Source organism: Homo sapiens, chromosome 16 (assembly GCF_000001405.40).
Source record: "Homo sapiens chromosome 16, GRCh38.p14 Primary Assembly".
Lineage (NCBI taxonomy): Eukaryota > Metazoa > Chordata > Mammalia > Primates > Hominidae > Homo > Homo sapiens.
The window spans coordinates 15,282,109-15,305,927 of NC_000016.10; the positions used below are offsets into that span (position 1 = coordinate 15,282,109).

The 23,819-nt window shown below is 44.5% G+C and overlaps 1 long non-coding RNA gene across 1 annotated transcript, besides 2 other annotated features; it reads right to left on the reverse strand.

The window, feature by feature from the left end:
• Positions 1-267: 267 nt before the first annotated feature.
• Positions 268-18,351, reverse strand: LOC105371097 (uncharacterized). Its single transcript, XR_933125.4, has 3 exons — positions 18,272-18,351; positions 16,800-17,090; positions 268-367 (listed from the first exon to the last, which is right to left on the reverse strand). It is a non-coding gene; the product is annotated as an uncharacterized LOC105371097 (long non-coding RNA).
• Positions 21,115-21,616: an enhancer, noted in NCBI's record as "NANOG hESC enhancer chr16:15397080-15397581 (GRCh37/hg19 assembly coordinates)". NCBI's record gives its function as "activates a minimal SCP1, AML or CMV promoter by ChIP-STARR-seq in primed H9 embryonic stem cells {active_cell/tissue: H9 hESC(primed)}" and the evidence as "EXISTENCE:reporter gene assay evidence [ECO:0000049][PMID:30033119]".
• Positions 21,620-22,121: an enhancer, noted in NCBI's record as "H3K27ac hESC enhancer chr16:15397585-15398086 (GRCh37/hg19 assembly coordinates)". NCBI's record gives its function as "activates a minimal SCP1, AML or CMV promoter by ChIP-STARR-seq in primed H9 embryonic stem cells {active_cell/tissue: H9 hESC(primed)}" and the evidence as "EXISTENCE:reporter gene assay evidence [ECO:0000049][PMID:30033119]".

Genomic DNA, 23,819 nt, shown 5'->3' on the forward strand with positions numbered 1-23,819 from the left:
CAGGTGTCAAGTGAGAGGAATGCATTTATACAGAGATAGTAACATGTGCAAAGGCCCTGGGGTGAGAAGGAGTTCCATGTGTTGAAGGAATTGGAATGTTGGGAGGAATGAAAAGGGTGTGGCAAAATATGTGGGCTGGGGAGGGAGGCAGGGGCTAGCTCAGGCAGGATGAGATAAACTCTGGTAAGGGTTGTATGTGCTCACAGAAACTCATTAACACTTCACTGAATGCTAATATTTATTTATCAGGTTTCAGAGTCTGTTTGTTCGTGAGGGGAGGGTTTTCCATCTTCTCCACTTGAATATAAACTCCTTGAAGGCAATGACCTTTGGTTCACAGTTCTATCACCAGCACCTAGAACAAGAACTAGAACAAAGGTAAATAAAGACACCCTTATCAGGCACAATGTTGCAAAGACTTAGTGGTTATCTTCCAGGAGCCAGTGAAGGGCCAGACCTTTCTTAGGAATGTGCAGGATTTGAACTCCCCAGACCTGCTGAGTCAACTCTACTGCAGGGGACCATACAGAGATGAGAAAGATGCGACATTCTTTCACTTCTGGGTAGCAGAGTCAACAAATGGAACCAGGGTGCCCCCAACGCCCATTACCTATGACATCTTCCTCTGAAATAAGCTCAACAGATGATGGTCCCTGGCTACAGTGACTTTTGTCAGGGATCTCCAAGACCGCCCTCAGGCCCATTGATTTGCCAGAAGGACCCACAGAATCAGGAAAGCCATTGTCCTCATGAACATTGTTTATTGCACTAAAAGGATACAGATTAAAATCAACCAAGGTACAAGATGCATAGGTCTCTCCAAGAGAGACCAGGGGTAAGTTTCCAATAGTTTTCTCCCAGTGGAGTTAGAAGGATAGCTCCTAATGCTCTGTATTAGTCTGTTTTCATGCTGCTGATAAAGACACACCCGAGACTGGGTAATTTATGAAAAAAAAAAGAGGTTTAATGGACTCGCAGTTCCATGTGACTAGGGAGGCCTCACAATCATGGCAGAAGAGCAAGGGAGAGCAAAGGGATGTCTTACATGGCGGCTGGCAAAGAGAGAATGAGAGCCAAGTGAAAGGGGTTCTCCTTATAAAACCATCAGATCTTGTGAGACTTATTCACTGCCATGAAAACAGTATGGGGGAAACCACTCCTGTGATTCAATTACTTCCCACTGGGTCCCTCTCACGACACGTAGGAATTGTGGGGGCTACAATTCAAGATGAGATTTGGGTGGGGACACAGCCAAGCTATAAGAGACAATTAGCAATGTATACAAAGTACTGCCAGCCACAGCAGCTCCCCCAAGCCTTGGTGTCCAGGGGTTTTATCAGCATTTCATCACCCAGGCATGGAGCACCTGCATGGGTGACTTTTGTTACTCAGTCTCCAGCCCCTCTAGAGGTCAAACTGACACATACAAAAACAGGCACTCACCATAAATTGCATTGTTAGCATGGACTAGCTAGCTCAGCCTGAGGCCATAGGTAAACAAAGACACTCTTATCAGGCAGAATGTTCCAAAGACTTGGCGGTTATCTCCCAGGAGCCAGTCAAGGGCCAGAGCTTTCTTTGGAATGTGCAGGATTTGAACTCCCCAGACCGGCTGAGTCAACTCCTTACTGCATGGGGACCATATAGAGATGAGAAAGATGCCATATTCTTTCACTTGTGGGTAGCAGAGTCAACAAATGGACGAGGCTGAACGAAGACAGTCAGGTAGAACCAGAAACCACCTCCACCTGCACCCCTGCATAGGACCTAAAAAAATGTCATAGGACCATGACAACTTTTTTGAGACAGGGTCTCAGTCTGCCACCCAGGATGAAGAGCAGTGGTGCAATCATAGCTCACTGCAGCCTCAACCTCCTGGGCTAATGCTATCCTCCCATCTCAGCCTCCCAAGTAGCTGGGGGCATGCACCACATCTGGCTAATTTTTTGACTTTTTTTTTTTTTTTTTTTTGGAGAGATGGGGTCTCACTTCGTTGCCCAGGCCGGTCTCTAACTCCTGGGCTCATCAGGAGTTAGATGATCACCCAGATGAACAACAGGGACCTCATCCCTCCCCAGGGGTCCTGGGGTAGGACCCTCAGCAGATGAGAGGAGTAGCTCTCCTGGCCCATACCCATGCCCTGTTGTGGTGTTTATAAGCCTGTCATAGGTCAGGTTTCTAGAGAGACAAGCTGTGGGATGGAGATCTGGGTGCAGGGGGTTTACTGGGAGGAGCACCTGCTGGAAAGCAAGGAAGCAGCATTGGGCAGAGAGGGGAGTGGCACTGTGGAACAGTCGCCAGGACCCCTGAGACACCCCCTGTGATGGTTAATACTGAGTGTCAACTTAATTGGATTGAAGGATACAAAGTATTGTTTCTGGATGTGTCTGTGAGGGTGTTGCCAAAAAAGATTAATATTTGAGTCAGTGGACTAGGAAAAGCAGACCCACCCTCAATCTGGGTGGGCACCATCTAATCAGCTGCCAGCATAGGTAGAATATAAGCAGGCAGAGCAGCATAGAAGGGCTTGACTGGCTGAGTCTTCCAGCCTTCATCTTTCTCTCGTGCTGGATGCTTCCTGCCCTCGAACGTCGGACTCTGAGTTCTTCAGCTTTGGGACTCTTGGACTTTTGACCACAGACTGAAGGCTGCACTGTTAGCGTCCCTACTTTTGAGGCTTTGGGATTTGGACTGGCTTCCTTGCTCCTCAGCTTGGAGATGGCCTACTGTGAGACCTCACCTGGTGATCGTGTGAGTCAATACTCCTTAATAAACTCCGCTTTTTATATACATCTATCCTATTAGTTCTGTCCCTCTAGAGAACGCTGACTAATACACTCCCATACGGAGGGGCAAGGGACAGAGCCTTTGTAACCCTCCAGGATTATGGGATGCCTAGGAGGGGAGGAGGATTTCCCAGCACTAGGTGGCTTCCTGCAGGTGCCTTCTTGCCAGAGGCAGGACTTTGCTATGAGCTGTTAGCAGCTAGGTCTCCCAGCAGCTGGGGGGACAGAGGGCCTCGGTGGTCCTGCACAGAGGTCTGAGTGGTGCAGCACCCACAGCGAAGCCAGTGACCAAAGTGGAAAGATAAAGATATGAAAATCTTTCAACTAATTAAGATTTAAAACTCAGATTGATGTGAGGATCCTGAATTGACTGTTTACCAAAGAGACTAGGTTTTAAATGAGAAGGGTCTGGGTTTACATTGACTTGGCAAGACTGAGTGTCCTATCACTGGAGTGACAAGGGAGGCTGGTGGGGATGGATCCAGGGAAAAGAAGCAAAGTATGGAACAAAGAAGTTTAGAATAAAGAAAGTGGCCAAGGCTGGGCGCCACGGTTCACACCTGTAATCCCAGGGTGGCCAAGGCAGGAAGATTGCTTGAGCCCAGAAGTTCAAGGCTGCAGTGAGCTATGATCATGCCACTGCACTCCAGCCTGGGTAACAAAGCAAGAAAAAAAAAAAGCAAGAAAGGAAGGGAGGGATGGAGGAAGGAAGGAAGGGAGAGAGGGAAAGAGAGAGAGAAAGAGGAAAGAAAGAAAAAGAAAGAAGAAGGAAAAAAGAAAGAAGAACGAAAGAAAGAAAGGAAGGAAGGAAGGAAGGAAGAAAGAAAGAAAGAAAGAAAGAAAGAAAGAAAGAAAAAAAGACAGAGAGAGACAGAAAGAAAGAAAGAAAGAAAGAAAGAAAGAAAGAAAGAAAGAAAGAAAGAAAGAAAGAAAGAAAGAAAGAGGCATCAAACCTCACAGGTTGAGGTAACTGTAAATACACGGTAGTTTATCCCTGAGCACAAAATCTCAATGGCACAGTCAAAGCCCCAAAGAAGTAAGAAACAAACATCATTTCCACCTTTTGGGCCTGAAGAAGCAGGTACATTAGAGAAGGGCAGCCACAATATCTGTGAACAGTCATTAAGCTCTCAGACACAGCATCCCACCTTCACCAATCTGATCTCCTTGACGGGGGTGATGCTCCCTCCAAGATAACAAAGAAAACCTGGCCAGGCACAGTGGCCCACGTCTGTAATCCCAGCATTTTGGAAGGCTGAGGCAGGAGGATTGCTAGAGCCCAGGAGTTCAAGACCAGCCTGGGCAACATAGTGAGACCCCTGTCTCTTAATAAAATAAGAAAAAAGAAAAGGAAACCTTCCCTTTACATGAAGGCATCATACCTTAAATGCACATCCCATCTGCCCAGGAGGCTCACCTCTAGATTTGTATCCTACTGATGAACACACACCAAGATGGACATACTAGCATAAATTGTGGAGAATGACAGAAAATATCCTGAATGTCCACCATGAGGGAACTGATTAATTTATACACATCCGTATACTGGAATACTACACAGCTGATAAAAAGAATAAGGAATGTCTATATGGACTGCTATGCAAAAACCTCAAAGATATATTGTTGAATGAAGTCAAGATGCAGTGTAATATGTACAATGGGCTATCATTTATAAAACCGGGAGGAGACATATATACATATGTTTTTCTATATAAAGATTGTATCTCTGGAAAGTTTCAAGAGAAGCCAGCAACACTTTTGACCTTGGAGAAGAAGAACTGGTGGTTGGGATGGAAAACAAACTTAATTTTCACTGTATACTTTTTCTGGTACTGTTTAATTTTTTTTTTTTACCATATGCACACGTTTCCTATTCAAAAGAGAATTTTTTTGAATAGGAAACAATGAAAAATCTTATAGGCATACAAACTAAATTAATTAGCCATCCCTATAGCTTCAACATGCATTTCAATTTGCAAGCACCCTGGCCTCCAAGATTGATTGATTGGCTGTAAATTGAGAACCTCAGCAATTTCCTTTCACAGGGACAGATGTTGACATTATTCCTGTGATTTTTCACAGATGTTTCCCTTCCAGCATCTTTAAAATCGAGTTTTCTGTCAATTTGGAAATCCCAAATTTCTCATATCAAATCGAGATGACAGGAAAATCAAAACCGTTATCACATTTTGAAAGAGTTTATGGATGGCAAATGACACTGGGAAGGGAGATGTTTAAGGAGCAGCCGACGTCTCTTAACCCTTTCTCATCACTTCCTGCCTCAGTTTACCTAAGCCAGCAAAAGGGGAAATTTGATTCAATATACAGACAAGGGCTTTAGAGTCTGCGTAGCGGTGCGATCTCACTTTGGCTCCAACTCTCTAGCTGTGATACTTTGAACCAGTTCATTAACTTGCCCAGCCTCCTCTCTCTCATCTGTAAAATGGGGATAATATCCCCAGCCTTGCAGTGTGATTTTACAATTCACTGATGCAAAAATGGAAAATGCGTGGCACTTAGCACCACCTAAATGTTTTTTCCTTTTTTTTTCCCTTTCCCTCCTCCTTCACCAATCCTCCAAGCAGCTTTTCTTCCTTCTTCATGTCCCCATTTTGCTCACGAGATTCCAAGATTTACCCACTGAAGCTCTCATGAGATTCCCAGATTTACCCATTGTTGAGAAATCAGAAACATCCCCCACCCCCTAGAATTCTCCTGACCTGTGTCCCCTCCCCTTAGGACTCTGCTCTCCCTCAGTGACAACAGGCAGGAATATGATCTACTCATACAAACCAAACCTCTGCTGTTTGTACATCTTAGCTAATAATGCCCAACACACAGCCAACATTTACTAAGTCAGGCTCTTGAGAGCCACTTCATCTGCATGACGCCACAAAATCCTCTCAGCAACAAAAAGGCACTGTTATTATTTCTGTTTTAGAGATGTGGAAATGAGCACCAGAAGTAGATGTAACTTGACAAATATCTGGGTGGTAGATCTGGAAATCAAAGAACCCTGAACCCCAACCACAGACACATCTTCAGTTCAGGCTGGGTCTCTACGCTTTGTTATTTTTAACGGGGCATTACGCTCCCTGGATGGCTATGATGCTGCAGTTAACTCTGCTCTTGTGGATGAATGCAATTATCTGGGGAGCTCGCACTTATAAGATGTACAGCTATGGGCAACCTAAGGCACATCGTGGAGTCTTAATTTCCTCATCTGTCAAATGAGAATAGCAAGGATGGCAGGGAGGGATTAAGGAGCATTTTTGGAAAAGGAAGTGCTATGAAATGAACGTTTGTGCCTCCACCCCCAAACTGATATGTCGAAGCTGACACCCTAATTACCAGTGTTACGGTATTTGGGTATTTGAAGATGCGGCTTTGGTGATTATGTTTAGATGAGATCATAAGCCTAAGGTCCTGGAGATGTGATGTGTCCATATTAGAAGAGACACCAGAGATACCTTTCTCTCTCTCTCACTCTTGCTTGATCTCTCCCTCTCTCTCTTGCACTCTCTCTCATGCTTGCGTGCTCTCTCTCTCCCCTGTGAGGATACAACAAGAAGGCTTCCAACTGAAAGCCACAAAGAGGGCCCTCACTGGAGAAACAAATCACCCAGCACCTTGATCTTCGAATTCCCAGCCCCCAGAATAGTGAACAATAAATGTCTCCTGTTTAAGCCACGTAGTATGTGGTATTTTGTATGGCAGCCTGAGCAGACTGCCACAGTAGATGGTTGGTCTTTCCTCCAACCAATAATAGATGGCTTGTCCTTTCCATCGCCCACCTTGGGCAAGGCAAACAGGACAGTGAAGGCAAGCACATCTCACAGACACCAGCATTCATGTGCTAATGAGGCTCACTACTAGTATTGCAAAGATGGGAAGTCAAACAGAATTATGTCCTTGCGAACATACAATAACTTGGAAAATTTTATTGAAAGACATTAAGTTTGCATACACACAAAAATGAGTGAAGAGTTTTTTGTTCCATTGAATAATTTAGAGGACATCTAAGAGAACACAAGTTTGAAATCTTATTATATTTTGTATAATGATACATAATAATTTCCATGATAAAGCTGATGTGTATTGAGGAGATCATATGTGCCAAGCACTCACTGTGTGTTAAGCATATTCTATTCATTGTATCATTTAATCCTCAAAATATTATCACCGCCTGTATTGATTGGGGTTTTCCAGAGAAACAGAACCAATGTCTAAACAGAGAGAGAGATTTCACGCAATTATGGAGGCTAACAAGTGCTGTCATCTGCAGGGTGAGGCAGCAAACTGGAGACCCCAGAGAACTGATGGTGTTAGTTCCAGTCCTAAGGCCAGCAGGCTCGAAACCCGGAAAGAGCAGTGTTTCAGTCTGAGTACAAAGGCAGAAAAAAGCCAATGGTGCAGTTTAAAAACCTTCAGGCAGGAGGAATTCTCTCTTACTTCGGAAAGGACCGACTTTTGCTCTATTCAGGTCTTCCGTGGATTGGATGAAGTCCACCCACATTAGGAGGGGCAACTGCTTTCCTCAATCTGCCAATTTAAATGACAATCATCCCAAAACGCCCTCACGAACACACCCAAAATGATGTTTAGGCAACTAGCTGTGCACCTGTATCCCTAAGAGTTAACACATAAAACCTACCATCCCATCACTCTTTCCAAATAGAAAAAGTGAGGCTCAGAGAGGTTAAGTCACTTCCCCAAAGTCACAGAGCTTCTTATAAGTGGTGGAGGGTTTGACTGAGGACCCATGCTCTATTGTAATCATAGAAAATCCTAGTGGAATTTTCCAATAGAATAAAACGCCTGCCCAGCTGCAGCCAAACGTTCCATAGACAATGTCTCTGGGCCTTTTGTGGCAGAAAAACCAACATAAGGAAAAGAAGGCTGGAGATGCCAGTTTTATCAAACTCCCATAAGGTAAAGGGAAATATCTTTCTGGGGAAAGGAGACTAAAGGAGAAAATTAACAGCCACTTTTCAGGGAGAGAGAAAGAGCAGGGACCCAGCCCCTCTGAGACTGTGGGCTGGGTGTGGCCTGAGCTGATTGGCAGCTCCATTGTAACTATACTGTAAAGGAATGACTCTACCCAAACTGAGCTAAAGGAGAGTTTGAAGCATTTTTAAAAACTCTGCCCAGGCCAGGCGTGGTGGCTCATGCCTGTAATCTCAGCACTTTGGGAAGCTGAGGCAGGCAGATCATTTGAGATCAGGAGTTCAAGACCAGCCTGGACAACATGGTGAAACCTCATCTCTACTAAAAATACAAAAATCAGCTGGGTGTGGTGGTGCACACCTGTAATCCCAGCTCTTTGGGAGGCCAAGACAGGTGAATCACCTGAGGTCGGGAGTTTGAGACCAGCCAGGCCAACATGGTGAAGTCCCATCTCTACTAAAAACACAAAAATTAGCTGAACATGGTGGTGGACACCTGTAATCCCAGCTACTTGGGAGGCTGAGGCAGGAGAATCACTTGAACCCAAGAGGCAGAGGTTGCAGTGAGCCAAGACTGCGCCACTGCACTCCAGCCTGGGTGACAGAGCGAGACTCTGTCCAAAAAAAAAAAAAAAAAAATTCTCAGACAACCAGCAGTGATACAAGAGATAAAAGGCATCTGGCTTTACGCTGCAAACAAAAGGGAAACAGGAAGTGAGAGAGCAGTTGGCCTCTAAGAAGCATCCATTTGTTTTACCCTGCCAGGTGCCTACAAGGTGATGGTTTTGCCTCCCAAATATAATCAGGGGCCCAATCTCTGCATTCAGAGAAGTATATTTCAGCAACCCATAAGTAATCCAAAAGCAGTTCCCCACACATCAGCTCAAACAGTGTTACAGGACAGGCATTCTTGGTGCCATCAGATCCAATGTCCCATGTTTTAACCAACAATTGAAAAGCCCTCTTTTTTTTTTGAGACAGGGTCTTACTCTATAGTCCAGGCTGGAGGGCAGTGGTGGGATCTTGGCTCATTGCAACCTCCACCTCCTGAGTTCAAGCGATTCTCGTGCCTCAGCCTCCCGAGTAGCTGGGATTACAGATGCGTGCCACCATGCCCGGTACATTGTTTTTTTTGTATTTTTGGTAGAGACAGGGTTTCACCATGTTGGCCAGGCTGGTCTCGAACTCCTGACCTCAAATGATCCACCAGCCTCAGCCTCCCAAAGTGCTGGGATTATAGGCGTGAGCCACCATGCCCAGCTGAAAAGCTCTCTTTTCTACCCTGAAAAAAAAAAAAATGTGCTGATCCTATAACCCATCTACTCTTCTAACCAATCACAATTGTGCCCTAATTATAATAAAAAGGAGAAATGAAATGATGAGGATTTCTAATGAAATAATATATAGAGAAATGATATGGGTTTCCACCAGGAAAGACGGAGCGAAGCAGTCAAGTGCTCACACACGTGTGTGTAGAATAACCAGTGACAGTCACAAACGCAGACAGCGTGGTGTGTTGTCGCATCGGCTTTACTGAGAGTGCCATGTTCTTCAAAAGAGTGGCTCTTTCTTGATAAATTCCCATACCAAACAGAGTCAAATCTTCTCTTGATTTACACCATAGCTGCTACATTCTTGGAAACATCAGTGTTCATTCAACACTTACATGTAAAATAGAACATGTAAACATATAAAATAGAATAGGCAGATAAAATAGAAGAAGGTTGGACCGGGCGTGGTGGCTCACACCTGTAATCCTAGCACTTTGGGAGGCCAAGGTGGGCCGATCACAAGATCAAGAGAGCAAGACCATCCTGGCCAACAGGGTGAAACCCCGTCTCTACTAAAAATACAAAAATTAGCTGGACGTGGTAGTACCCGCCTGTAGTCCCAGCTACTCGGGAGGCTGGGGCAGGAGAATCGCTGGAACCAGGGAGGCAGAGGTTGCAGTGAGCCGAGATGGCACCACTGCACTCCAGCCTGGGTGACAGAGTGAGACTCTGTTTCAAAAAAAAAAAAAAAAATAGAACAAGGTTATAGACTCTGATAATCATGGTTCTTCTAACCCATATGAATTTGGGATCTACACATATATATATTCAAAAAACTACCCCACACCGTAATGACTCCCCCATCCCTATCATTAGGGCAACCAAAAGCTCTCTGCAGATTTAAAACACACACACACAAACACACACACACACACACACACACACAAACACACACACACACACACACACAAACACACACACACACAAACACACACACACGGGACAATTCAGTCCCCAGTGAGAACCTCTGTAATAAAAGGTCCAATTCCTAACCCGCAATAATATTCTTTTTTTTTTTTTTTTGAGACAGAGTCTCGCTGTCGCCCGGGCTGGAGTGCAGTGGTGCGACCTCAGCTCACTGCAAGCTCCGCCTCCCAGGTTCACGCCATTCTCCTGCCTCAGCCTCCCGAGTAGCTGGGACTACAGGCATCCGCCACCATGGCCGGCTACTTTTTTGTATTTTTAGTAGAGACGGGGTTTCACTGCGTTAGCCAGGATGGTCTCGATCTACTGACCTCGTGATCTGCCCGCCTCAGCCTCCAAAGTGCTGGGATTACAGGCGTGAGCCACCACGCCTGGCCCACAATAATATTCTTAAAGTCCCCTTTCCCGCCTCCTCAGTTCTCCCACAATTCCCAGTTTCCCCAGAACAAACCCCAAGAGATTTCTCTGCCCTTCCCCCCACCCCCAGGCAGAGATGTCTTCCAACTCTTCCCCAGCACTGTAACTCTCCACTCTGGTCAAGTGGACTCCACCTTGGGGAAAGAATGTTTGTACCGGGCACCAAACTAGACTTTGGAGATACACTAGTTCTTAGTATCTGCTAGTGTGATAATTAAGGTAATTATTTAGACCAGGAATCTGCAAAATACAGCCTGAAGGCCAAATCCGAGCTGCTTGTTTTCCTATGGCCTGAAAGCTAAGAAAGAATGGTTCTTACATTTTATATTATTATTATTATTATTATTATTATTATTATTATTATTATTACTATTTTGAGATGGAGTCTCGCTCTGTCGCCCAGGCTGGAGTGCAGTGGCACCATCTCAGCTCACTGCAACATCTGCCTGCCAGGTTCAAGCGATTCTACTGCCTCAGCCTCCTGAGTAGCTGGAATTACAGGCACCTGCCACCACACCCGGCTAATTTTTGTATTTTTAGTAGAGACAGGGCTTTACCATGTTGTCCAGGCTGGTCTCGAACTCCTGACCTCAGGTCATCCGCCCACCTCGGCCTCCCAAAGTACTGGGATTACAGGCATGAGCCACTGCGCCCAGCTAGTTCTTACATTTTAAATAGTTAGTGGGAAAAAGACAAAAGGAATAATACGTCATTACATGACAATTATATGAAATTCCAATTTCAGAGTTTATAAATAAAGTATTGTCTGTGGCTGCTTTTGTACTACAATGGCAGGGTTGCATGGTTGCAAGAGAGCACATGGCCCCCAAAGCCTCAAATAATCCACTATCTGGGCCTTTACAGTAAGGTTGTCAGCCCCTGGCTTAGGCACTAAACAAGTGCTTTCAAGCACCTACTATATGCCAGACACTAAGGTAATAGAGAGGGGAGACAATCAACAAGAAGCATTCTTTCTCAAAAGTTTTAGGCTAGGCACAGTGGCTAAAGCCTATAATCCCAGTACTTTGGGAGGTCGCGGCAGGAGGGTCAATTGAATGCAGGAGTCCAAGACCAGCCTAGGCAACATAGTAAGACCCCGTCTCCTCAAAAAATGCAAAAAAAAAAAAAAAAATTAGTTGAGCATGGCAGTGTGTGCCTGTAGTCCCAGGTAGTTGGGAGGCTGAGGTGGGAGGATCACTTGAGCCCAGGAGGTCAAGGCTGCAGTGAGCCAAGCCATGATGGTGCAATGGCACTGCAGCCTGGGAGACAGAGTGAGACCCTGTCTCAAATAAATAAATAAGTTAATTAATTAATTAATTAAATTAAAAGCATGTTATTCAGAATCACATAGACTTGGGCTCAGCTCTTCAGCCATAAGCATGTTTCTTTTCTCTTTTTCTTTTTTTTTTTTTTTGTTGAGACAGAGCCTTGCTCTGTCACCCAGGTTGGAGTGCAGTGGCACAATCTTGGCTGACTGCAACCTCCACCTCGTGAGGTCAAGCGATTCTCCTACCTCAGCTTCCTGAGTAGCTGGGATTACAGGCACGTGCCACGATGCTCGGCTAATATTTGTTTTCCTTTTTTTTTTTTTTTTTTGAGACGGAGTTTCGCTCTTTTTGCCCAGGCTGGAGTGCAATGGTGCAATCTCAGCTCACTGCAACCTCCTGCCTTCCGGGTTCATTCGATTCTCCTGTCTCAGCTTCCCGAGTAACTGGGATTACAGGTGCATGCCACCACACCTGGCCTAATGTTTGTATTTTTAGTAGAGACAGGGTTTCACCATGTTGGCCAGGCTGATCTCGAATGCTGAACCTCATGATCTGCCCACCTCAGCCTCCCAAAGTGCTGGGATTACAAGCGTGAGCCACCGCGCCCGGCCCATGAGCATGTTTCTTGACCTCAGTTTCCCCTTCTGTAAAGCATGGTGTGGATTGTTCACCTCGCATGGGCATGTGAATATCAAATGAGACATCCTGTGCAATGTGCCTCAGACAAAGAAAGGAGATCAGCAAATAATATTTCCTTTCTAGTTCATCCTCTCTTCCCATGTATGCCAAGAAAGCAGGCGAGATTGAGTGAGGGAGGTCATATCCTCTTTGTCTAAATGTTTTCTTGTTAGAGAACATCTTTCTTCTTAACATCCCTTCCTACATAAAGAATCTCTGTCAGAGGAATATTAAAAGGCCCTAACCTACAGTTAGATGGAAGGCGAGACTCCGATCTCACAGCTGAATCACTTTAGTCTACCTCTCTACCCATCTAATGCTACCCCCTTCAAAAATAATAATAATAATATGAAAGTTGGGAAGTGGAAAACCATCCTCTGGAGTTTTCAAAAACTAATTCCATTGTAATCATAGAAGACTGAAGGCAGGATTCATGACACATTTCTCTTCCTCCTGGGCAGATGAATCTACAATTTGTATTTGATTTTAAATGTGATTCTCCTGCATCTTCAGTGGGTTTGATTGATAGAGCACATGGGGCCACTCAGTAAAATGATACAGTGGAGATCAAAGCCGGAAAGATAATTTTTGCCAAAATGTCTGCAGCCGACAGTGAGTTATAAGCCTTTGTCTCCCACTTTACGGAACACAATTTTATTTAAAGCCGAAATCTGTCACTTTGGTATTGTTTATTGAAATGCATCCCATACCACGGTCCCGTGAAGAACAACGTCAAGTCAAAAGGTAAAAAAATCCAATGGTTACAAACAGCCCAGGACCAAATAAAGGAGGGAGAATGCTTCCAATCTGCGTAAATATTACCCACCAGTGATGCATTTGGGGCAAGCAATGAAGTCATTCATCTGCAAAGTAAATATCTGGCATTGTCAGAGGTGCCTGACACAGCCCCATAAACCCAGTGAGTTCTGTTCCATTCAGCAGCTCACACATCTCTATTTGATAACTTTGCTTTATTTATGGGTCCACAATGGGAGTCATAACTGGGTTTTTATCTTTGCACAACTTTTTTACTTTATTTTTTGAGACAGGGTCTCACTCTGTCACCCAGGCTGGAAGTGCAGTGGTGTGATCACAGCTCACTGCAGCCTCGACCTCCTGTGCCCAAGCAATCCTCCCACCTCAGCCTCCCAAGTAGATGGGATTACAGAAATGCACTTCCACACCTTGCTAATTTATATTAGTTTTTGTAGAGACGGGCTCTCCCTAGGTTGCTCAGGCTGGTCTTGAACTCCTGGGCTCAAGTGATCCTCCCACCTAGGCCTTCCAAGTAGCTGGGACTACAGATGCACACCACCATACCCAGCTAATTTTTAAATTTTTTATAGAAAAGGAGTCTCACTATGTTGCCCAGGCTAGTCTCAAACTCCTGGCCTCAAGACATTCTCCCACCCTGGCCTCCCAAATTGCTGAGATTACAGGTGTGAGCCACTGTGCCCAGCTTGCACAGCTTTTTTAAACCTTTTTTTTTTTTTTGCATTCATTCACGCTTTTCATACATCATGATTGAGGATCTACCCTGCAGACTGTATGGAGTTATCTAGAAGGCAGGAAGGCAGAGAACTAAAACCTTTGGTTAAAATATCTGGGGTTGAGCTCAGTGTTTCCTGCTCTCCAGCTATGTGACCTTGATCGGGTCTCTTCACCTGTCTGAACCTCAGTTTCCCCACTGCAAAGTGGAGAGCAAATGAGACCATGGACTTGGAAATGCTTCATACATTTCTGAGTGCCTCACAGATATGAAGCCCAAAGATAGCACCATTCTAGGCTCTGTCAGGACAATGAGGCCAAAGTTGTCACTGATGCCATAAAGTTGTCTCTACAGCGAAAGGTCCCTGGAATTAGCAGGAGGCTTTTGTGGAGCAAATGCCTCCTTTTCTGCGTAGAAAGTGAGATGCCTCAATCACTCTGCCTAGATGCCTCTAGATGCCTCAATTCCTCTGCCACCAACAGACTCTGTGACATTGGGTCACTTTTGAGATTCCTGGGTCCTGCCTACTTCACCAGAATGTCATGTTCTGGAACCTTCTCAGTCTCCAACCTCATCACTCACAAGCTTTTCTTATGCTTTGATAGATGCTACAATTGCTTGTCAAAAAAAGAGCCTCATCTTCTCCGTTGCTAAGAGAACCCCAATTTTTAAAGTATTGAACAGTCACATGCTTTAGGAGAAGTTGCCCTTCTGAGCCTCAAGGAGTGAATCTTGACTGACCTAAACTAATCATAGTAATACTGACCCCCTGTCTAGTGATTGCTTTCGAATAGGCACGTGACCCATTGTGACCAATGAGAGTTGATGGAAATTTCCTCCTTGCTGTCAACAATGGACACAAGGAAGACACATTTTCTCCTCTGACCTTTGGACATTGAACGTTATTGTGTTAGGATGTGATGTAAGGCACTGTGGCACCCATTTTGTGCTCATTAGAGGAAAAGACTGGAATTAAGCCCTTGCTCTGTAAGTCAGAGCACAAAGATGGCAAGAGCCCAGGTCTTTGATGATACAACTGAACTACTGAATAAACCAACCCTAGACTCACCTACCCCCAAATTCCTTTTAATGTGAGAGAATAATGTCCCATCTTGTTTAAGCAATTTCAGGTTTCCATTACTTACTAATGAATATATTTGGATTCCAAGTTGTTATTTCCTTGCATGGAATGCTTCTGACACAACTCACCCTTGCTAGCCTCAAGGGTGGTGGCCGAACTGGGGAGGGTCCAAGAGGAATTGCAAAAAACAGAGCTGCAAGGAGCAGCCTTATCTCTGACCGCTGTGGTGAGCCCTCCACTTTGTATACCCTCCCCCAACCGTGTGACTCTGGATCAGCCAATCAGGTGATCTCTCTTGGCACCTTGACTCATGATGCAAGAACACAGGCCCTATTGGGTTTCCATGAATTCTCTGCAGGGAGAGCAGGGGTCCCCAGATCAGCCTATCCCTAACGCATGCCCTTGGAGGAGTTGCCACTATAAAGCTATCTGGAGTCACCTTGTATGGGGTGTTTTCCAAGGCTGGGCCTTCAGCAGTGCCTTCGGCATGTTCTCTTTCTTTGGTAAGAGTCAGTTTCTGGGGTGAACAACTGAGAACTCAGGGACATAGACAAGAAATCATGTCTCATTCTTAAAAGCCTCAGCACAAGTCCTGGCATAGAGTAAGTGTTGATGGGAGGTTGGATGAATGAATAAAGGAGTGAGAAAGTTAATTGCTTCCCTTCTCTGGGCTGCTGTATCAATCAAGGTTGTGGCAGGAAATACATAGTAAACTGAAATGGGGTAACTAAAAAGAGTTTAGCAAAGGGCTATATATAGCTGTATAAGTGGGATTAAAAAAAACAAAAACAAAAAGGGAGGTTGCAGTAGCCCTAACTAGCAGCAGTGAGGAGCCATTTCTACCCCTAGACCTGGAGGGGAAATAGTTATGGAACCCAAGGAGAGTAGCCACAGTCTTCAGGGAAAGACAGCTGCCTGGCAGGAGCTTCCAACCTATGGCAACCCAACAGGAAGGAGCCACAGAAATAAATATCCGAATCCCTCTCTCCTCCCACCTTCTAGTATTCTATGATCCCCACCCCATTGGCCAAACCCAAGCAGCCACAAGAGGATGGGAGACCACATGTGATGTAGTCCATAGAAGTCAGCCTCCTGGGGTACAAAGCAGGAAATGGGGGTGGACAGTGGATGTAAAGGAGCAAATACAAAATATCCGGCACAGATATTGCTATGGTTTGCATGTGTTCCCCAAAGTTCGAGTGCTGGAAACTTAATCCCTGATGCAACCGTGTTGAGAGGTGAGGCCTTCAAGAGGTGTTTGGATCATGGGGACATCATCTTTCTGAATGGATTAATGCCTTTATCATGGGAGCGGGCTGGTTTTCACAGGAGTAGGTGCTCTCTCTCACCCTCTCTCTCACCCATGTGATGCCTTGGGTCACACCATGATGCAGCAAGAAGGCCTTCACCAGATGTAAGCTCTCAACCTCGGACTTCCCAGCCTCCAGAACTGTGAGCCAAGTAAATTTCTATTCATTGTAAATTACCTGGTCTGTGGTATTCTGTTATAGCAGCACAAAATGGACTAAGACAGATAGTATCTAGTGATAGGATAGACTACAAGAATCTCTTTCACCCAGATCCTGCAGCCACAAAAGGGCCAACGCTCTTTGGAGAGTTTATCTCTCACCCAAGCAGCCACCAGCATCATCAGCAAACAGCAATGTTCCTCTACACGCTTGTGTGTTTCCTTCATTGGTACAAGTTTCCACCATTGTTTTGCTCATAAGAGAAACCATTCTCCAAAGCCCAGAGTAATTATAGAGCCCATAAGTCTTGGGGCTTTCTGAATTTGAAGCAGATTCAGGGCTCAAGAGAGCCAAGAAGTCATATCAATGCCAGGAATCTGGACCCCAGGCAGACAGCGTGGATAACCTACCCCAACAGAGGTGCAGGCTCTCTTCCTTTCACCCAAAAAATAGCAAACACATTTATTGATCACCGTGGGCCTTTTCCTTCCACCTGGAGGTTAGCAGGAACTTTCAAAGGTTTAGTGTCATCCATATCCCATTGTCTTCTTCATGCACAGAAAAGACAAACTTCTTCATCTCTGGAAAGGAGACATGGACTCACACTCCCCTTATTCTGAATTTTTGCCCACTAAGCCATTTCACAGGAAGTTAGCCATGGTTTGTGGATTTTTAAATGCTTCTGGGAGGAGAAGGATTTACTAGTGATAAGAAATAAAAATGCAAATGTTTTACTGATGAGATATGCATGTAAAGTGCTTGATATAATGCCTGACATGGAAAAAACACTCAATAAACGTTAGTCATCAGTATTTATATCATCATTCCTTTTAATACACGCCATCGACTGGGTGCAGTGGCTCACGCCTGTTATCCCAGCACTTTGGGAAGCAGAGGCGGGAGGATCACTTGAGCCCAGGAGTTTGAGACGAGCCTGGGCAACATAAGAAGACCCCATCTCTATAAAAGAATCTTTAAAAATTACCTAGGTATGGTGGCATGTGCATACAGTCCCAGCTACTCAGGAGGCTGGGGTGGGAGGATCAATTGAGCCCAGGAGGTCAAAATGAGGCTGCAGTGAACCATGATAGTACAAAAAAATAGTTAGAAAGAATGAATAAGGCCGGGCGCGGTGGCTTACTCCTGTAATCCCAACACTTTGGGAGGCCAAGGTGGGTGGATCATGAGGTCAGGACTTCGAGACCAGCCCGGTCAATATGGTGAAACCCCATCTCTACTAAAAAATACAAAAGTTAGCCGGGCGTGGTGACAGGCGCCTGTAGTCCCAGCTACCCAGGAGGCTGAGGCAGGAGAATTCCTGGAACCTGGGAGGCAGAGGTTGCAGTGAGCCAAGATCGCACCACTGCACTCCAGCCTGGGCGACAGAGCAAGACTCCATCTCAAAAAAAAAAAAAAAAAAAGAATGAATAAGACCTACTATTTGCTAGCACAATGGGGTGACTATAATCAAAAACAATTTAATCGTACATTTTAGAATAACTAAAAGAGAATAATTAGATTGTAACACAAAGGAAAACGCTTGAGATGATGGATACCCCATTTAGCCTGATGTGATAATTACACATTGCATGCCTATAATATCTCACGTAACCCATAAATATATACACCTACGATGTAGTCACAAAAACTAAAACTAAATATAAAACAACAAGCATTTATCATCTAATTGTCTGGATTTGGAACCCACAAGCCAACTCAGCTAAGTGCTCTGGCTTAGGGTCTCCAATGAGGCTGCAGGTAAGATGTCAGCCAGGACTGCAGTCATCTGAGCGTTTCTGGGGCTGAAGACTAGGCTTCCAGGCTCACTGTGTGGTTGTCTCTATTCCTTACTGGCTCTTAGACAGAAACCTCAATTCCTCACCACGTGGGCCTCTCCATAAAGTGCCTTAGTGTCCTCAAAACATGGCAGCTGGCTTCCTCCAAAGCGACTGATCCAAGAAAGAGAAAGAAAGAGCCAACAATGGAAGCTGCAGTCTTTCATGACGTAATCGCGGAAGTGACATAACATCACTTCTGCGGCATTGGTCACACACGAGCCCCAACATGGATCTTTCCAGCGTGGGAGGGGACTAAACAAGGTGTGAATGGCAGCAGGCAGGGATTGTTGCGGGCCATCTTGAAAACTGGTTCCCTCAGAGGAGAGCTGGAAGGCTGGGGACAAGGACACAAGAGAGGCTTTTTTATTTTTTTATTTTTTTGAGACCGAATCTCGCTCTCGCTGCCCAGGCTGAAGTGCAATGGCGCGATCTCAGCTCACTGCAACCTCCGCCTCCCGGGTTCCGGGAATTCTCCTGCCTCAGCCTCAGCAGAGTTCCCCAAGGGTACCTGTTGGCCTAGTTTGAGACTCTTGGCTCTGTTAGTGGGAGTCTCAAACTATGCTCCAGGCTGCTGATTGTTCTGAGGGATTTCTCTCTCTTTCTTTCTAACACTAAGAAATAGGAACTTGGCCTCCCAGAGTGCTGGGATTACAGGCGTGAGCCACCACGCCTGGCCTGTCTGTAATCTTTAAAAGTAATAGCATATTAGCTCTGAGGGTCGGTTGGATTTTCTTTTTTAAACAGTTGGCAGTCATTTGTAGCCAAGTCAGGTGAAAAGGGTAGGTGATCAAGCTCATTACAATTTTTATTGAAATAAAATTTATCTTTAGTAACGAGATTGATTTTTTGTGTGTGACTCCGGAGGGCAGTTTGCCCAGAGCAGTGGTTTTCAAACTCTTAACAAACTATCCCTGAGAGGAAAAGAGAATGAATTCATACTCTGTGGAGTGTAGCCCAAAATAACCTCTGCAAAGGTGAAATTTTCTTTGAAGTCTTATTTTACCTTAGGTATTTGTGAACTCTGCGTTCTATTTTGTGCCACATGTGTTTTAAGTTACTATTACTCTACTAAAGTTTATTCATCCTCCAGGAAGATGATGATGTTTGTACTGTAGTTTTTTATGTCCCAGGGATACAGCAGGGTTCCCCAAGGGTATCTGTTGGCCTAGTTTGAGACTCTTGGCTCTGTTAGTGGGAGTCTCAAACTATGCTCCAGGCTGCTGATTGTTCTGAGGGATTTCTCTTTCTTTCTAACACTAAGAAATAGGAAACACAGTTTTCAGTTTAAAAATAACATAATTACAAAGTGTAGAAAAGTCTCTCTTGGCCGGGCACGGTGGCTCATGCCTGTAATACCAGCACTTTGGAAGGCCGAGGCGGGTGGATCACGAGGTTAGGAGTTTGAGACCAGCCTCGCCAACATGGCAAAATCCCATCTCTACTAAAAATACAAAAATTAGCTGGGTGTGGAGGCAGGCAGCTGTAATCCCAGCTACTCGGGAGGCTGAGGCAGGAGAATCCCTTGAACCCAGGAGGTGGAGGTTGCAGTGAGCTGAGAATGCACTACTGCACTCCAGCCTGGGCGACAGAGCGAGACTGTCTCAAAAAAAAAAAAAAAAATTACAGGCAAAAGAGGTTGCCCATGTTCTCATCATTGGCAGCAGCAGCATCAAAATATGGCACCCACTCCAGTGATGCCTTTCCAGAAGGAGCAACACTCATGTGAAACCACCAGCTTTGCTTTGTTTTTGTTTTTGTTGTTGTTGTTTTTTCAGAGAGAGTCTCACTCTGTTGCTCAGGCTGGAGTGCAGTGGTGGGATCATAGCTCACTGCAGCCTTGAACTCCTGGGCTCAAGCGATCCTCCTACTTCAGCCTCCCCAGTAGCTGTGGCTACAGGTGCACACCAGCACGCCTTGCTAATTCAAAAAAAGAAAAAAAAGAAAAGAATTGTAGAGATGGGGTCTCGCTATATTGCCCAGGCTGGTCTCAAACTTCTGACCTCAATTGATCCTCCTGCCTTGGCCTCCCAAAGTGGCAGGATTACAGGCATAATCCAGCCATTGTCCCTGGCCTGGCTTTTTTTTTTTTTTTTTTTTTAATGTAGCTCATGACCACAAACGGAGTTTGGTTTCCTTGCTCTCTCTTTTTCCCATTTGGTACTTTTCTTTCTCTCCCATGCACTCCTCTTCAAACCAAAAGTGAATCTTGTTATTTCTTGAAAAATGTGTAGATGTTGAAGGGATGAAAAACCTGAACTCTAACGTCTGACTATCTGAACCCAAATTCTAGCCGCCCCACTCAGTTGCTGTGTGACCGTGAGTAAGTTCTTACCCTCTCTGAGCCTGTTTCTTCACTTGGAAAATAAAAGTATACACATATACAGCTGTTAGCCAGAACTCAGCCTAGGGTAACCTTTCAATAAATATTAGCATCATCAAGGAAATCGCTTGACAAATTAATTTTCATTAAGCAATGAGGGTCTATAACAGTGATGACTTCTGACCAACCAACCAGCCCAATGGCTGACAAAGGACTGATAACACTTTACATTTTTATAATTTCCCTAGATTTCAAATTCTCCATAAGGAGCAAGTACAGTTTTTATAATCAGACATAGAACTCGCGTTCACTCTGCTCATCCTGACCCTAGCCACTGGCCACCAATTTCTGGGTTGGCTGCTCCAACCTGAGAACACAGCTACTGGAATCAGAGGCAGAGGAGCTCCTCTTGCGTTCGTTGTTGGTTTCCCTTGGTTTTGTAAAAATAAATAAATAATAAAATAGGGATACACCCTTCAGACAGCAGGTAACTTCCTAAGCTAAGATGAACAGGAGGAAATTTAAATGTCTTTCCCCGGTTCAAATCCCCTACCCTCTCCCATCTGCCTACCCTGGGCTCCAACACTCGGGAGAAAGACCATAAGTCGTTCAGATGATGCTTTGGAGCTGGACAATCAATCGTGATCAAAAACAGGGGCATGGGAGCCTGGCTAACGTGGAGGGATGGGAGAAAATCAGGCTGAATTAGAGAAGGGTACATTGTGGAGTGTGTTTTACAACGCCATTAGTTCTAAGCACATAAGGATTTCAAATCAAGGAGCATCCACACACACACAAACTCTTGGATTCCTTAAGAGATAAGGCGGATCCAAAATTAGCATATAGATCAGAGGCATGCAGTTGAGTGCTGCTAAAGTGGGCTATAAATGCTTGGGGGAAAATAGTTGTTTTTCTGAAGAAACTTTACAACATTCCAAAATCTTGTCCAGGAAGTGTGAACTCTAAGTCCAATGGACTGAACTGTGTCCCCTCAAAATTGATATGTTGAAGCCTTAACTTCCATTATGATGGTATTAGGAGGTGGGCTTTTTTGGAAGACTATTAGTTTAGATGAGATCATGAGGATGAGGTCTTCGTGATGGAATTAGCATCCTTACAAGAAAAGACACCAGACGGCTTGCTCTCTTGCTCTGTCTCTCCTCTTCCCTCCCTCCCTCTCTACCTCCGCTCCCCCCACCCCCCACTTCCTCCGTCATGTGAGAATGCAGAGAGAAAGCAGCTTTCTGCAAGCCAGGAGGAGGGTCCGCTGGGAGCTACATCAGCCAGATTGTGGCACTTCTCAGCCTCCAAAACTGTGAGAAATAGATTTCTGTTGCTTAAGCCATCCAGTTTATACTATTTTGTTATTTGCAGCCTGATATGGTTCGGATTTGTGTCCCCACCCAAATCTCGTGTCGAATCGTAATCCCCAGTGTTGGAGGAGGGGCCTGGGGGAAGGGGATTGGATCACGGGGACAGACTTGCCCCTTGCTGTTCTCATGACAGTGAGTGAGTTCTCACAAGATCTGGTTGTTTAAAAGTGTGTAGCACTTTCCCCTTTGCTCTCTTCCTCCTACTCCAGCCATGTAGGACATGCCAGCTTCCCTTTCACCTTCTGCCATGATTGTAAGTTTCCTGAGGCTTCCTCAGCTATGCTTCCTGTACAGCCTGCAAAACTGTGAGCCAATTAAACCTCTTTTCTTTATAAATTACCCAGTCTCAGGTATTTCTTTATAACAATGCAAGAAGAGACTAATACACAGCCCAAACTAACTAAGACAAACCCACTCTGACCCATTCTGACACCCAAACTAACTAAGTCCTGGTTTGAACCCTTCACTATTGTGTCACCTTGGGGCAAGTCACCCAACTTCTCCAAATGTTTGTTTCCCACCAGGAAGATGGAAATGACAGTACCTCTCCTTCCTACCCCGCAAACCTATCAGGAGGATCGAAAGGGACATGGCAAGCAAATACTTTCTAAACTGTAAAGTGCTGTGCAAATGCAAGACAGCATTACTCTCTTTTTATGGAGTTATTTATACTCTACCTGGTTACAGCAGAGGATTTATGGTAGATGTCAGTAAGACTCTTTATTTTGAATTTTAAGAGAGAAATAAGAATCTTTGTTATCTGTAGAGAAACAAATATAATTTCCATGGGGCACTAATATAATATAATATAATATAATATAATATAATATAATATAATATAATATAATATAAATATACCTTACCGAATAAACCCTTTGCTCAGACGTAGTGAAAAGGTAAATTCCCCTTCAACCTAATGAAGTTTCAGTCGCTCACATTTTCTGAATTTGCCGAACAGAAATGCGATCAGGTGCCTACTAAGTGCAGTACCCAGCACGATGTCTAACATTGAAACATACAGTGTATACACCAGCACCTCCACCAAACCCATATCCAGCATGCAAAACATACCCTTTTCAAGTCGGAAGCACATAGATAGATTTTTTGGAGTTCAAAAGGTCTTAATGCAAACTGGCTCCAATTCCTTTTTTTTTTTTTTTTTTAAATCTTTGAAACATTGGTTAAGTCTTCTCAGAGCTATCATTTTGCACACATGGAAACTTTAGACCATCCATCCTTCAAGTGTCTTGGGGTAATTAGAGATACTGAAGGTTAAGGACCTAGCATACTACTAATAGATTTTCAACAAATGGTAGCTACTGTTATTTCTCATCATTGCAGATTTAAGAGTGCCAATTCTCAGAGCACTTCAGATAAAAACCCTACCTTTCTTAAGGCAAAAAACAACGGCATTAACTTTTTTTTTTAATTAACCTAAGTTCCCATTATGTTTAGAGAAGAGATCACAATGATAAATGCTTGCCCTGTCTCTCTTTTTTAAAAATTTACTGTTCTTACATGTGACATATACTGTGGTACTTAGTGTCACCCTACAAAGAATAAATTTAAATTGAAGAAACAGAAACACGGGAGAGTCCTTGTTTGGGTTTAATTTGTATCTGACTACAATAAAATTCTATCCTGGAAGCTAGAGTCATAAAACTAAAAGTCAGGAAGGAAAAGAATGGCTAATTAAGCTCCAAAACTAAAAGCTCTTTCTTTATTGCTATTTCTTTAAGTCCTAACAATTGGTCAGGCACAGGGTCTTAGCTGTGCCATTCTAGTTAATGGTCGGTTACAAATTTCCACCATAAACTCATCTTCCTTCTAGCAACTTAAATCTCAGGCACTGGGATGTAATAAGGAGAGAAAGCTCTTAGGCCCAGGGCAATCTCTCTC